The 12,996-nt window shown below is 56.8% G+C and overlaps 1 protein-coding gene across 32 annotated transcripts in view, besides 4 other annotated features; it reads left to right on the top strand.

Moving 5' to 3' along the window:
• The window catches only part of ADGRB2 (adhesion G protein-coupled receptor B2), a 37,224-nt gene that overhangs the window by 9,804 nt on the left and 14,424 nt on the right, over window positions 1-12,996 (top strand). For 18 of the 32 annotated variants that reach the window (XM_011541858.3, NM_001294336.2, XM_047426178.1 and 15 more), the window contains 6 exons: window positions 9,806-9,889; window positions 10,180-10,344; window positions 11,535-11,699; window positions 12,320-12,484; window positions 12,570-12,737; window positions 12,812-12,913. In XM_011541858.3, the coding sequence (XP_011540160.1) occupies window positions 9,877-9,889; window positions 10,180-10,344; window positions 11,535-11,699; window positions 12,320-12,484; window positions 12,570-12,737; window positions 12,812-12,913 (778 nt within the window). In that variant the 5' untranslated portion in view covers window positions 9,806-9,876. The remainder of the gene's footprint in view (window positions 1-9,805; window positions 9,890-10,179; window positions 10,345-11,534; window positions 11,700-12,319; window positions 12,485-12,569; window positions 12,738-12,811; window positions 12,914-12,996) is intronic. The other 14 variants (XM_047426187.1, XM_047426186.1, XM_047426180.1 and 11 more) reach the window with 3 other exon arrangements.
• Window positions 131-744: an enhancer, noted in NCBI's record as "H3K27ac hESC enhancer chr1:32219394-32220007 (GRCh37/hg19 assembly coordinates)". NCBI's record gives its function as "activates a minimal SCP1, AML or CMV promoter by ChIP-STARR-seq in naive and primed H9 embryonic stem cells {active_cell/tissue: H9 hESC(naive and primed)}" and the evidence as "EXISTENCE:reporter gene assay evidence [ECO:0000049][PMID:30033119]".
• Window positions 745-1,359: an enhancer, noted in NCBI's record as "H3K27ac-H3K4me1 hESC enhancer chr1:32218779-32219393 (GRCh37/hg19 assembly coordinates)". NCBI's record gives its function as "activates a minimal SCP1, AML or CMV promoter by ChIP-STARR-seq in naive and primed H9 embryonic stem cells {active_cell/tissue: H9 hESC(naive and primed)}" and the evidence as "EXISTENCE:reporter gene assay evidence [ECO:0000049][PMID:30033119]".
• Window positions 3,385-3,464: an enhancer, noted in NCBI's record as "active region_652". NCBI's record gives its function as "activates an Ori minimal core promoter by ATAC-STARR-seq in GM12878 lymphoblastoid cells {active_cell/tissue: GM12878}" and the evidence as "EXISTENCE:reporter gene assay evidence [ECO:0000049][PMID:35858748]".
• Window positions 9,719-9,768: an enhancer, noted in NCBI's record as "active region_651". NCBI's record gives its function as "activates an Ori minimal core promoter by ATAC-STARR-seq in GM12878 lymphoblastoid cells {active_cell/tissue: GM12878}" and the evidence as "EXISTENCE:reporter gene assay evidence [ECO:0000049][PMID:35858748]".

Genomic DNA, 12,996 nt, shown 5'->3' with positions numbered 1-12,996 from the left:
GGGATTTAGTGCCTGTAGGAAGAAATTGAATTTTGCTTCTTTGTTGAACATCGGCGGAGAACGCCAGGCGTATATCAGGAGGCTTATGGCTCTTCCTGCATGGCCACCACTGCCTGTCACTCTGTGGGGGTCTCCCCCATCGTGCTCAGCTGCAGGCGGGTTCTTTTGTCTGGCTTTCCCTGCGGTCCATCGGTCCAGTGATCTGCAGTGGACGGAGCAAGGCTCTGCCCTCATGGGCGGGCACCATCTGGGCGGGCTGCCATGTGGAGCACAGAGCCAGGAGCAGCCAGCTGGGCTTGGTTGAAGCCGGAAGCAGGAGTTGGTTGGTAGCTGGGGTGTCTTTGGGGATCAGAGAGGGCCGGTGATGGGAAAGGCACCATCATCAGAGCCTCTGCAGAGGCCTCTGGGGCTAGAGATGGGTGGAGACTGGATGCCTGATTATTCCTGGGCATGAGGCCAGGTGTCTCTCTGAGCAGGGAGCCCTGAGCTGGGGCTCCCAGCTGTTCCCAAGCCTGACCTCTGCTCTTGCCCCTTGTCCTACTTGGCATGTTTCCTTGGGGTTGCTTTTTAGGGAGGGCCCCTGTAGGGAGTTGGCATGGGATGATGTGGCATCAGCTGTCATAAGTGGGCTCACATGGCACACTGGTGCCCAGAGCTGGGCTGGCACAGCCCCTTCCCCTCCCTTGGCAGGCAGGAAGCTCTTCTATTCTGCCATCCCCTCCCTCCTGCCCAACCTTTCTGGTGTGAGACATAGCGGGCACATGACTGTTTGTTCCACATGTCAGGGCATGTCTGAGGGTCCGTGGCACCGTCTGTGCCTTGTGGCAGCACCACCTTTGCCGAGCCTTTGGCCCCCTCCATTCCTCCCCTTGTCTCCTCCCCACTGGGCTGCAGGAGAATGGACTGGCACCTGCAGCTGCCAGACTGAGAGCAAGATTCGTGGGGATGGTAGTGAGCAGGAAGGGTGAGACCCTTGTCCTGGCCCCTCTCCCAGGCACCAGGGCAGGGAAGCTGTGTTCATCTTCTCTGGGACACCCCCGAGGAAGATCCACAGTGAGGCCTAGCAGGGTGGGCTTGGGCTGGTACCGGAAGAGCACTGGGCTGGGGGCTGGTGGGCAGTGACTGGCGGAGTGCCTGGGACGCCTCAGAGCCGAGTGAGTTTGACAAGAGGGTACAGGCGCCTGTTAATTTCACGCAAACTGCCTTTGATAGATCTCTTGTTATTTTTGGTGAGTTGAGCCATAAATTTGTGCCATCTTGCTGCCGCAATCTGTTAAGTGGGGGAAAAGGAAGAAAAGAAAGGCAGGCAGGAAGGAGCTTGGTGGAGGACTGGCACGGAGGCTGGCTGAGGTCAGGGCTGGAAGGCGGGCCGCAGAGTTAGTGCCAGCTGCAGGGCTCAGCTCCTGATGGCCAGTGCCAGCCTGCAGTTCCTGCCCACTGACCCTCTAATCCTGAGGAGGCACTGGGCAGTGGGAATGGCTGTGCCCAGTGATACTTGGGAGAAAGAACCCCGCCTCATGCACGCCTCTCTCCTTGGCCACAATCCCTACCTCCCCTGTGGGCACTGGCCTGCCCCTGGCTGCTTGCTGCAGGCTCACCCTCCCCATCATCAGGCTCCATCCTTGAGGTGTGGCCACCAGGTGAACCTGGGGTCTCCTGGGAGGCAAGAGTGGGCTCAAAACCCCACCTGCCACTGCTGCTCTGTGACTTGGACAAGGTGCTGCCCATCTTGGGGCCTCAGAACCCCCAGTTATCTGTGTGTCACCCCCTGATCGAGCCCCCAGCAAATCCCCAGTGCTACTGAAACTCCTCAGCCTGGTGTCCAAGCCCCACCCGGGACCTAGCTACCACCTGCTTTTGAGCCTTCTTTCGAATTCTCCCCCACCCTTTCAACTGAGGCTCCTCGAATGGTGTTTGCCCTTGGTTATCCAGAACTCCTGCATCCTTCTAAGCACTGCTCAAGCCCTGTCCCCTCTAGGAAGCTGCCTCTGATTTGCCCAGCCCTGTCCTAAGATTGGCGTTTCCCTCCCAGCGCTCAGACCCTGCTGCTCTCTCGGCCATCCTGGTCTGGCAGCAGGAAGTGGGGGCCTTCCCTGCCTGTTGGGGGCCCAGGCAGTGAGGAGGCAGGGTGGGGGCGGGGAGACCCAGCACACACGGTGGTGGTATTTCCTGGAAGGTCCTTCCAGCCCAGATCTGTGCTGGTGGGGCTCTGTGTGCTCTACCATAGGGTGGGGAGCGGGGCCCAGACATCCCCAGACATCTCAGCAGGGACTGAGTTCCAGCCAATCCCTCACACACATCTTCATGTCTTTATCAGAGTAGAGTTTGTGCCAGGCCTAGGGCTGGCTCTGAATGAGTAGGAGGTGAGCTAGGCACACTGTCTGCCCACCGGTGGGGGAGGGAGAGCACTAACTAGGACAGTGGTGGTCAAGGCCACAGACTGAAGTCGCCCAGTCCGGGTTCAGTTTTGGACCTTACCACTGACTAGCTGAGTGACTGTTGATAAGTTCCTTCACTCCCACTTCATCACCTGTAAAGCGGGGGTAGTGAGAGCTATTCCACAGAGCTGTGGGGAGGGTTCAGTGAGAGGATGAGAGTAAGTGCCCAGTGCCTGGCACATGGTAGATGCCTAACAAAGTAGTAGCTGGGTCATCATAATTTAGTGTAATAGGTACGACTGTGACCCTGCCAGATGTCAAAGGAAGAGGAAGAGTAAGGGATTAAACCACAAAGGGGAGGAAGGTGCTCTAAAGAAGGTGATTTGGAGTTGAGTTTTAAGGAGTGAATAGGAATTCACTAGCCTGTGAAATTTCTCTTTCAATTGTATCATTTTTAAAATTTAATATATTAAAAATAAGTTTCATATCCTAAATGGAAAGAGTATCATTTATCTGAAATAGAAGATAACCAAAGAAACAACCACAGTGAAAACAAAGCGCCGTTATTAACTTCTAGCTAGATGCTTTTCCTACCTCTCCATTTGTTAGAGAGAGGAATTAGCACACATTGGGGATGTGTTAAAGTCTGGAACTGCACAGGCTTTATCTCTCATGCAGTTGGAAGGATTAAAGTGACCATGTAATTTATCATCTAAACTGTGACACATCTGAGGTTATGAAAGGGAAGAGGTGGGTACCATCAATTACATCAGGACAACAGGCACAAACCAGACTATCCCATACAAACTGATGAAGAGACCTGGGAGAGCCTGACATCCTCAGTCCAGGATCCAGTGTCATTTAATGGCACATTTGTGAGCCGCCCCAAGTCATCTTCCGCCCCATGCTTTGGGGAAGCTCTCAGGAGGAAGGGCTTTCGAGGTAGAGGAAACAGCCTGTGCAAGGGCGTGGAGGTGTGAACCACGCCGGGGGTAGGAGCTATAAAGAGACTGGAGCTGCTGGATGGTAGCCCTGGTGGAGGGAGACGGGGCCAGGGCTTTGACTGCCATCCCAGGACACTGGGGCCTCATCCTCTTGGCCAAGGGCTTTATGGCAGCAAGAAACTGGGCGTCTTGGGGGAAGCAGGCTGAGTCAGACACGATCCCTGCTCTCGAGGAGCTTCTGGCCACATGGGGGAGGTGGCAGGGACCCAGCTCTCTGTGGTGGGAGGCTGAGTAGATAGGTCAGCAGCCTGGGGAGGAAGAATTATTGGGGGGGGCGGTCTGGCATTCTGGCTAGGTACATGATCTCATAGGGGTACCCAGTTTCATTGGACTGCAGGGGTAGAGCCTGTGCCTTTCAAAAGCCACCTCTTTCCCCCACTGCGCCCTGTGATTCTGATACACTGTGGGGTGCAAGAAGCACTGCTGGGGATGGGGTGCCATGGGGGGACATGACAGAGCATGTGTCAAGGGGATCAGTCGGCTCCTGCTCAGGGCTCTGGGACCAGCCTCAGGAAGGAAGCAGGGAGCCCAGGGAAGGGACGATTGCTTTGTAAATCACAGCGCTCTCTCCCTGTGGAAGTGATGATTATTGTGGTTATTTTTAACACATTCATACCATAGTAGGCTGAGGGCACAGGACTGTGTGGAGTTTGGGGGGAGGGGTCTGTGAAGCACAGCATAGCAGGTATCTGCAGTCCTGTGCAAGTGACAAAGAGCCTGTGCTCACCCCGCCTGCTGGCACCAGGGGTGAAGCAAGAGGGGCCTCTCTGTGGTTGGGGTGGAGGAACTCCCAGCAATATCTGGCCCATGTTTGCTGAATGCCTGTCTTCCCAGAAGCTAGGCCCTCTGAACAAGAGCAGCATGGGAGACTGAGACCCTTCCTCAGGGACCACAGGAGGGATGAGCCCAAGATCCTCACAGGTATAGAAGAAGATGGCCTGGGGACTAGGCCATAGAAAAGAGGACCAGCATATCGAAACCACTGTATTGTCAGTCTAGGAAGGCTTCCTGGAGGAGGTGGCAACTGACATGTAGATGATTTTGGCAGATTGCAATAGAGGGAAGGGTATTTCAAGGGCAGGGAATAGTGTTAGCAGATGTGTGGAGGGAGGAAAGCATTTGTACATTCTAGGGATAATGAAAAGGGGTTACATCTCCCTTTCTTTCTTTCTTTTTTGTTCTTTTTCTCTTTCTTTCTTTCTTTCCTTTCTTTCTTTCTCTCTCTCTCTCTCTTTTTCTGAAACAGGGACTCCTCTGTCTTCCAGACTGGAGTGCAGTGGCACAATCATGACTTACTGCAGCCTCGAACTCGTGGCCTCAAACAATCCTCCCACCTCAGCTTCCCAAGTAGCTGGGACTACAGGCACATGCCACCAAACCCAGCTAAAATTTTTTTGTATTTCTTTGTAGAGACGGGGTTTCACCATGTTTCCCAGGCTGGTCTTGAATTCCTGGGCTCAAACGATCCGCCCTCCTCGGCTTCCCAAAGGGCTTGATTGCAGGCGTGAGCCACCTCATTCAGCTGACATCTCCTTTTCATTGAGAGCGGATTGTGCTCCAGACAGTCCACATCTCTGTTTTCACTGAATTCTCACAATGAACCTATATGGTAGAAAGTGTCCTCCTTACCTTCAGAGAATCTGAAGCTCAGAGAGATGAGGTGTCTTGCCCAAGGGTACACAGCAAGACGGTGGCAGAGCTGGGAATCAAACCCACATGTGTCTGGCTCTAGAATCTGTGCCCTTTCCACAGGTCCATATGGCTTTGCAGTGTGCTTGGCTGCCCAGTGGGGTGTGGGAAACAGTATTGGACAGGTCAGCAGGGGCCGGAGCATGCCAGGCTCAGAGTTTCACACTCTGGCTGTAGCCGTGGAGGAGCCGCTGAAGACTTCCTCAGCTGGGGAGTGGTGTGGTTGGGGCTGGGATCCCCGAGGCTCACTTTGGAGGTTACACAGAGGAGAATCAGGCTCATGTCAGGGGAAAGGGGAGCAGGTGTGCAAAGGAGCAATTAAACAGTAGCACGAAAACAGGATAAGAGGGGCAAGGACCAGGGGCTTAGATGGAGGCGGGGAGTGACTCGGGGTCCCATGCAAATTAGGGAAGGTGTCTCCGAGGAGGTCCAAGTTGAGTGGCATTTTGTCAGAGCCAGTGTAGTACAGTGGAAAGAGCACGGCCTCTGGAGTCAGGCAGGCCTGGGTTTGAATCCCACCTCAGCCTCTCTCTAGTATGAGACCTTGGAGCTTCCTTTCTCATTAGTAAAATGGGGGAAACCAGCCCTGATGAGGATGAAATGAGGTGATGCTGAGTGCACAGTGACTGGCATGTAGGAGTTGTTTAGTAAACGTTGCCTTATTCAGAACAGAATAGTTATGAGGTTATCAGGTGGTCAAGTGGGGAAGTGTGTCCCAGGCAGCACATCTGTTTGTGCCCATGACTGGCAGCCCGACGGGAAAGCTGATAGATTGCAGGACTGCAGGCCTTGGGGCACCTGGCCCACAAGCCGCTGAGCTCACTGGGTGGAACACTCAGGAGTTCTTGGGGGTACTCACGTCCCTTCTGGGGGCCCCTCCTTGTCCTCTTGGACCCTGCCTGGCTCAGCTTCCTCTTGGATTGCCCTGTTTTGGCCTCAGGGCTGGCTGGGGCCTGCACACAGTGTGTGCTGACTAAGTGTTTGTTTCAGTAAATGACACCTCTGCTCTTATCTGTCTTCTTCCCCCTCCAGGGAGAACCAGCCTTCCCCTGTGTGGGAATGAATTGCTGGCCTCTCCTCTCCTCTGAGTGGGATGGGTGGGAATGGAGGGGCAGGCAGGCAGTGTAGGGCCTGGCTGTGTGGCCTTGGGCTTGTACCTTCCCCTCTCTGGCCCAGCTCAGGAGGCCGGAAAAGGGATCCAAAAACTGAACCTCGGACATGTTCTGATTTTCAAATAGGGTGAATTCTGGAAACCACTGACCCCAACCCACTCCCGCTTCGCCCTGCCCCTCCTGTTACATTGTGGGGCTGGCCAGCAGATGGTCTGTGAGTGGTTAGAAGAGGAGCAGGGACCACAGGAAACAGTGTGAGACCCCGACAAGCAGGTCAGGCTGGTCTCTCACGTGTCCGCATTTGGTGGGCACTGGATGCCAGACTGGTAGATGCCCCAGACACGACGATGGGCAGGAAGCCCACACAGGAGCTGGATGGGAGGACTCTCAGCTGGATTTGCACCTCCAAAGTGTTTGTGAATAAATAGGGGCCAGGAGCTCTGTCTTTGAGCCTGTCTTAGTGGTCCCTTTGGTGCAGGCTGGCATATCAAATCTGAATGCTGGTGCTGTGGGACGGAGCTGATACTTTGCATGGGGAGTCAAGATTACAAATGACCATTCCTCGTGAGCCCCATTGTGGGGGAAGCTGGGAACAATGTATTCATTGGTGCTTATTTCTTGGTATTTCGCTGGGCTGAGTTTTGTGCTGGCATTCCCTGGGGGTCAAGGAGAGGACTCACAGCCTTCCCTCAACGGGCTTATGGTAGAGAGTTGGGGGTATTTCTGACAGTCAGAAGATGGACCCATCTGTGATGAAAGGGCACATAGAAGAGGGGGTGGCCAACTCTGCCTGGGGAGTTGACAATATGGAAGTTTCCATAGATGAGAGGTCATTTGAGGTGGGTTTTGAAGGTCAAGTAGGAGTTTTCTAGGCAAAGAGGGTGGGGAAACAAGCAAGTAGAGATTTGAGAGTAGATGGTGGGCTTCTTGGACATGCTGAATTTGATGGTCAGGAGAACTGCTCAGGAGGCAGGAGGATATCCAGGAATGGAGCACAGGAGAGGCAGGGCCTGGGGATGATGATTTGGGAGCATTGGTTCAGAGGGGGTTAATTAAGCCTGGTGGGGAGCACGTGCAGTGAAAACAGGACAAAGCATGGACTCCTGATATGGGAAACAGCAGGAAAATAGACCCCTCAAGGAGATGGGGACAGAGTAGCTAGAGAGGTGGGAAACCAGGAGAGTGCTTCAAGGGAGGACGAGTCAGCAGGACCAAATGCTGCTGAGGGGTCAAGTGAGACCAGGTCTGCAAAGTATCCACAGGATTTAGCAACAAGGAGGACACTGATGACTTTATCAAGAGCACGTTCAGCAGAGAGATGTGGGCAGAAGCCAGACTGCAGTGGATTAACAGGGGAGGTGATATTTGAGCCAGGAAGTGAGTGTCAGGTGAAAAACCAGAGTGCTGGCTGCAGAGCAGTCACTGACGGAGGAGGGAAACAGAGGGTCAGAGGAGGGCCTCTCCGAGAGCGAAGGAGGCCTGGATCTGTTCCTGGGCTGCCGCAAGGGGAGAATGCTGACAGGGTGCCGATGAGAAGGGATAATGGGTGGAGCCCTCCTGAGAAGGCTGGAGGAGGGGGATGCAGGCCCAGGCCACGGGGCTGGCCTTTGTGGGGAGAAGGGCTGCAGGGAAGTTGGTAGTTGGAGAGGCTGGGCAAGAAGCTGGGGGCTCCCGATGTTGAGGTCATCGCTGAGAGAGTGGGCAGAGATGAGCTTGAGGAGAGAGGACAAGGTGCAGTATGGCCACAGCGGGGAATGAGGAAGGAACAGAGCCAAGAAGGGCCACTGAGAAGTCCCGGGCGCCCAGCGGATGTGGAGCCCCTGAAGCTGTCATGGTGCCAGTTGGCACAGCCATAGATTTCTTCAGCAGCCTGGGGGTGGGCGTGGAGAGGGTAGCTTGTCACAAGGCTCCAGGGCTGGGGGAGGGGATCGAGGAGCTGGCACGCCTGGCCCTGCCACCTCCTCTGTGGTCCCAAGAGAGGCAGGGGCCAAGTGGAACTGCAGATGCTATTCAGAGGGAGTAGGCTCGGGTGGCACATGAGGGGCTGGAAGGGGTGGAGGCTGTGAAGAGAAGGGAGATGATAAAAATAAACGAGAATGACTGTCTTCTGAGCACTTGCCGTGTGCCAAGCAGGGTGCTGAGGGTTTCAAGGCCCTCCTGGCAGGGGGTCCTCACGTGAGTCCTGGGGGCGGAGTATAATGAATGTTGTTCTCCAGAGGATAAAGCAGGGTCAGAGAGGTGAAGAGACATGCCCGAGGCCACACAGCTGGTCAATGTCCACACCCCATTTGGGATCCAGGGTTAATTCACTCCAAAGCTCTTCTGGGAGTCCAGGTTTCAGAGATGGAGAAATTTCAGGGATCATGTGGATCAGGCCCTGGGGCTGGTGACTGACGTGGAGGGAAAGGCCCCAGAGTGGATGAGACCAGAGGCTGGGCTGGGTGGCAGTTCTGAGCCCCCAGCAGCAGATTTGCTCAGGGTGGCTGCTCCTCATGCTTGGTGAGAAAGAGCTTCCTCTCAGCTGCAGAGCCCGGGCTGGGCAGCAGGGGGCAGGAAGAGGCAGCCCTGGTGGGTCCCTTCACACTCAGCGTGCCTGTCCAGTACTGCTGGCTTTTAGAGATAGGAAGGAGCCTGGAGGTGGGGGAGAGGAGCACCTAATAGTCTGGGGATAGCATGGGGTGAGCCCATCCTCAAAGGCTCTTCCAGTCCCACCTGCTCATGCAGAGGCTGCTGGGCCTTTCCCTTCTGTGCCCATGTCTGCCCCTCCCTGACACCCCATTGTGGGAGAGGGCCCTGATGAGCTCATGTCTGTGCAGGAGGGCCAGGCTTTGGAGAATGGAAGCCACCAGGGCTGGTAGTGCTTCCAAGGCCTAGCCCAGACACATAAATCAGGGCAGCTGAGAGCCTGGTGGGGCCAGGGTCAAGGTAGCCTGGCCTCCTCGAGCACCTGCTGTTCTCCTGGCCTCAGGGCCAGCAGGAGAAAGGTCTGTTGGATGTGGGCACTTGTCCTAGGCCCCTTGGGTCTCAGAGGAGTGGCATTCTGACCTGTGCCTCCAGGTCACAGTCCAGTGCTGCTTGGGGAGCATGAACTGTATCTCAGAGATAGGCTCGGGGCCAGGGTTGCAGCAGCTCAGCTTGGATGTTTTTTCAGCCCCTAGGAGTCAGTACAATGGAGGAGCAAATGCAGCTGTGTGCTCTTGGACAAGGCACTTCCCCTGTCTAGCCCTCAGTTTCCTCATCTGTAAACAGAGATGATGGTTCTTCTTTCCAGTGAGAGGACTAAAGGAGAGGGTTATGGGCCGCACTTGGCACAGAAGCATTCCCAGAGCTCTTTCATATGGGCAGCCATGCCCCTTAAATCTCCCCCACATCTGGCTGAGGCAAGAGGTGGAAAAGATGACTGTGAGGTCAGGGCCTAGTCCTGTGTAGCCTTCTGAACCTCAGTTTCCTTGTCTGTGAAATAGTGGTGGTGGGGCAGAGGGCAGAATGTGATCCTGAGAGAGCATCATGCAGTTGGTTCCAGGCCCTCAGGCGGAGGGCAAGGAAGGCTGCCTTCACTGTGCCACTGTAACAGAACCTAGCTGGCCTTTGCTGAGCCCCTGCCACCACCTCCGTGTTCCAGGTGAGGAGCCGGAAGAGGAACCGAAAGTGAAAACCCAGTGGCCGAGGTCTGCAGATGAGCCTGGGCTATACATGGCGCAGACAGGTAACTCGGGCCCGCCTCCCTTCCTCTGCGGCGGGGGCCCGACTGTGTGCGTCTGGTGGTGTGTGTGCTTGGTGTGTGCCTGTCTGTCTCTGTCCTGCAGTTCAGTCGCGTCTGTGCCACATGAAGCTTGTGGGAAGGGCTGGGTGGCCTCCTGAAGAGCCTGTTACTTGGGGTCAGGGTAGGAGGAGCCCTCTGATGCCTGCCCCCACCTTACTGCCACTCCCCCTATCCCTATGAGACTGAGTGCTTGGGAGGTGCCCCCTGCCGCCGACGCTGTCCCTCTCTCGTAGGCGACCCGGCGGCTGAGGAGTGGTCCCCGTGGAGCGTGTGTTCCCTGACGTGTGGGCAGGGTCTGCAGGTGCGGACCCGCTCCTGTGTGTCCTCCCCCTATGGGACCCTGTGCAGCGGGCCCCTGCGGGAGACCAGGCCCTGCAACAATTCAGCCACCTGCCCAGGTAGGCCCATCCTCCTCCCCACCCCACCTGCCTGCAGGGTTAGGTCCTGCCTGGGACTTGGGCAGATTAATCTCCAAAATGGTTGGTTGCCTCCTCCTTTCATTCAACAAATGTGGCTGTTCCCCACACCATGCCCAACTCTGCGTACCATGCCAGCCCGGTGCAGGGCACTGGGGGCACAGATGGATCAGACCAGGGCCCATGCTACTGGGCCCGGTTCTGGGCACATCATTCCCCCAGTGCCTGCATCCTGGTAACCAAGGCTCGTGTTTTTACCCACTCCGCTCTGGCCATATCAGTAGCTTGCGCACTTTCCCACCTCCCTGCATTTGCTGATTCTTGTCCTATCCTTTCTCCCTGACCTTGGCTATTCAAATTCAGCCTGTCTTTCAAGATCTAAGACAAACGCCACTTCCCTGACCTTCCCCTCCTTCCTTTGGACACCCCCTCTCAAGGGAGCCTCCCCTAAGCCTCCCTCAGTTGAGTGTGTAGTTGTTAAGGAAATGCATGTGCTTGCTTGAGACGGCAAGGGCAGGGTAGCCTCAGCCAGTCCTGCTCCTTGCTCCCTGAGTGGGTGAAGTGAGGCCTAGGCCATGCCAGTGGTGCTGTGGATTTAGAGCAGGGCCTACCTGGGAAGGGCTCTTGGTACCTGGGGGTATGGCAGGAGTTTGCAAAGGCCTGGGGCAAAGCTGTGTTCCAGCGTGTGAGCTCGGTGTGTCGGTGTCCATGTAGAGGTTCATGTTTATTTGTGTGTCTGTGCGCTTGGGGCTGGGAAGGGCGCTTCTCTTGCCCCCGGACTGCTGTGTTGTATTCAGGCTCTGGGTCTAGGGGTGGGTGGGATGGGGAGGGGTGGAATGGCGTGGGTCCTGGGTCCTTTCCTGAATTTTCCTGTGCCCTCAGGAGAGGAGGACCCCTGGTTCCCCTCCTGTTGGTCCTGGCCCCCTTGTCCAGGCGTCCACAGGGGCTGTCCTATGTGAATTAGGACCGGAAGCCTGTGTCTTGCACATCCCTTCAAAGGGTCGCGCCTTGGTGGGGCCCTGGGAGATCCCCCTGGCAACAGATCCCGGGGCAGAGCCAATGAGGAGCAGCCGCAGAGCTGCGGAGCTCCTGATTGGTGGGCGGATGGGCAGGCGCCGGTGGTGGGCGGGGCCATGGTGCCGCCCAGCCACCGGCCACGTGCTTCCTTGCAGTGCACGGCGTGTGGGAGGAGTGGGGGTCCTGGAGCCTGTGCTCCCGCAGCTGCGGGCGGGGGTCCCGGAGCCGGATGCGGACCTGCGTGCCCCCCCAGCACGGCGGCAAGGCCTGCGAGGGTCCTGAGCTGCAGACTAAGCTCTGCAGTATGGCTGCCTGCCCGGGTCAGTAGCACCCGTGGGCTTCCATGAGGGCGCTGCCCAGCCCGGTGGGGGGTCGGGAGACCTGGGGAGGCAGTCAGGTCCAGTGACCTGCCCCTGGGGGCCCCTTAAACTTTGACCAAGCATGGGGAGACTGGAGAAGTATGCCTGCCTGTGTGCGAGGTGACCCCCTAGCCCTGACTTGACCCCTAGCCCTGACATGAGTTAGTACCCTGTGACGCCATCAAGAGGGGACAGCTCTTTCTCCAAGCCCTGGGCTGCCCTTGCATTTTGGTGCATGGCCAGCTGGACTGTGAGAGGACACAAAGCTGGGCTGAAGTGCTGGCAAAGATCAGAAGACACCCCTGCAGCCCCTTCCCTTAGCCAGAAGTGAGTTGTGCCTTGTGCTAAGAGGAGAGGTGTCCTGTATTTCTGGAGCTGGTGGCAGGCAGGCAGCATGAGGCCCAGGCACCACCTGCTCACTCCAGCCTTCCTCATAACCCCCTCCCCTCCCCACTCCAGTGGGTCTGGCCTGGCTCAAATCTGAATGCCTAGCAGGCTCTGGGTCTTCCTGTGGTTCTCCACACCACCAGCCCTCACACATCCTGCTCAACAGCCACCCCTGCTTGTGTCTCCCCATGCAGTGGAAGGCCAGTGGTTAGAATGGGGTCCCTGGGGCCCATGCTCCACGTCCTGTGCCAATGGGACCCAACAGCGCAGCCGGAAGTGCAGCGTGGCGGGCCCAGCCTGGGCCACATGCACGGGTGCCCTCACTGACACCCGGGAGTGCAGCAACCTCGAGTGCCCGGGTGAGTGCTTGGCACAGTGGTGGCAAGTTGCAGCTCTGACCATGGGGGTACCTGGGCCCACTCATATGCCTCACCTCTCCCACAGCCACTGATAGCAAGTGGGGGCCATGGAATGCGTGGAGCCTGTGCTCTAAGACGTGTGACACAGGCTGGCAGCGCCGCTTCCGCATGTGCCAGGCCACGGGCACGCAGGGCTACCCCTGCGAGGGCACCGGAGAGGAGGTGAAGCCTTGTAGTGAGAAGAGGTGTCCAGGTACTGCCCTAATGACCCTGGGGGCTGGGGGCCCCATGTGTGGACCCAGCTGAACCTTACCCCTGCACCCACAGCCTTCCATGAGATGTGCAGGGATGAGTACGTGATGCTGATGACGTGGAAGAAGGCAGCTGCTGGCGAGATCATCTACAACAAGTGCCCCCCGAATGCCTCAGGTAAGGGGCAGGTGGCTTTCCCCACCACCACCACCCCTGCCATTCTCATTGCCCCCTTCTGCGCCCCCAGCCTCTCTGAGATA

The sequence above is a fragment of the Homo sapiens genome, chromosome 1, assembly GCF_000001405.40.
Source record: "Homo sapiens chromosome 1, GRCh38.p14 Primary Assembly".
Classification (NCBI taxonomy): domain Eukaryota; kingdom Metazoa; phylum Chordata; class Mammalia; order Primates; family Hominidae; genus Homo; species Homo sapiens.
This window is presented reverse-complemented; position numbering and strand designations above follow the sequence as displayed.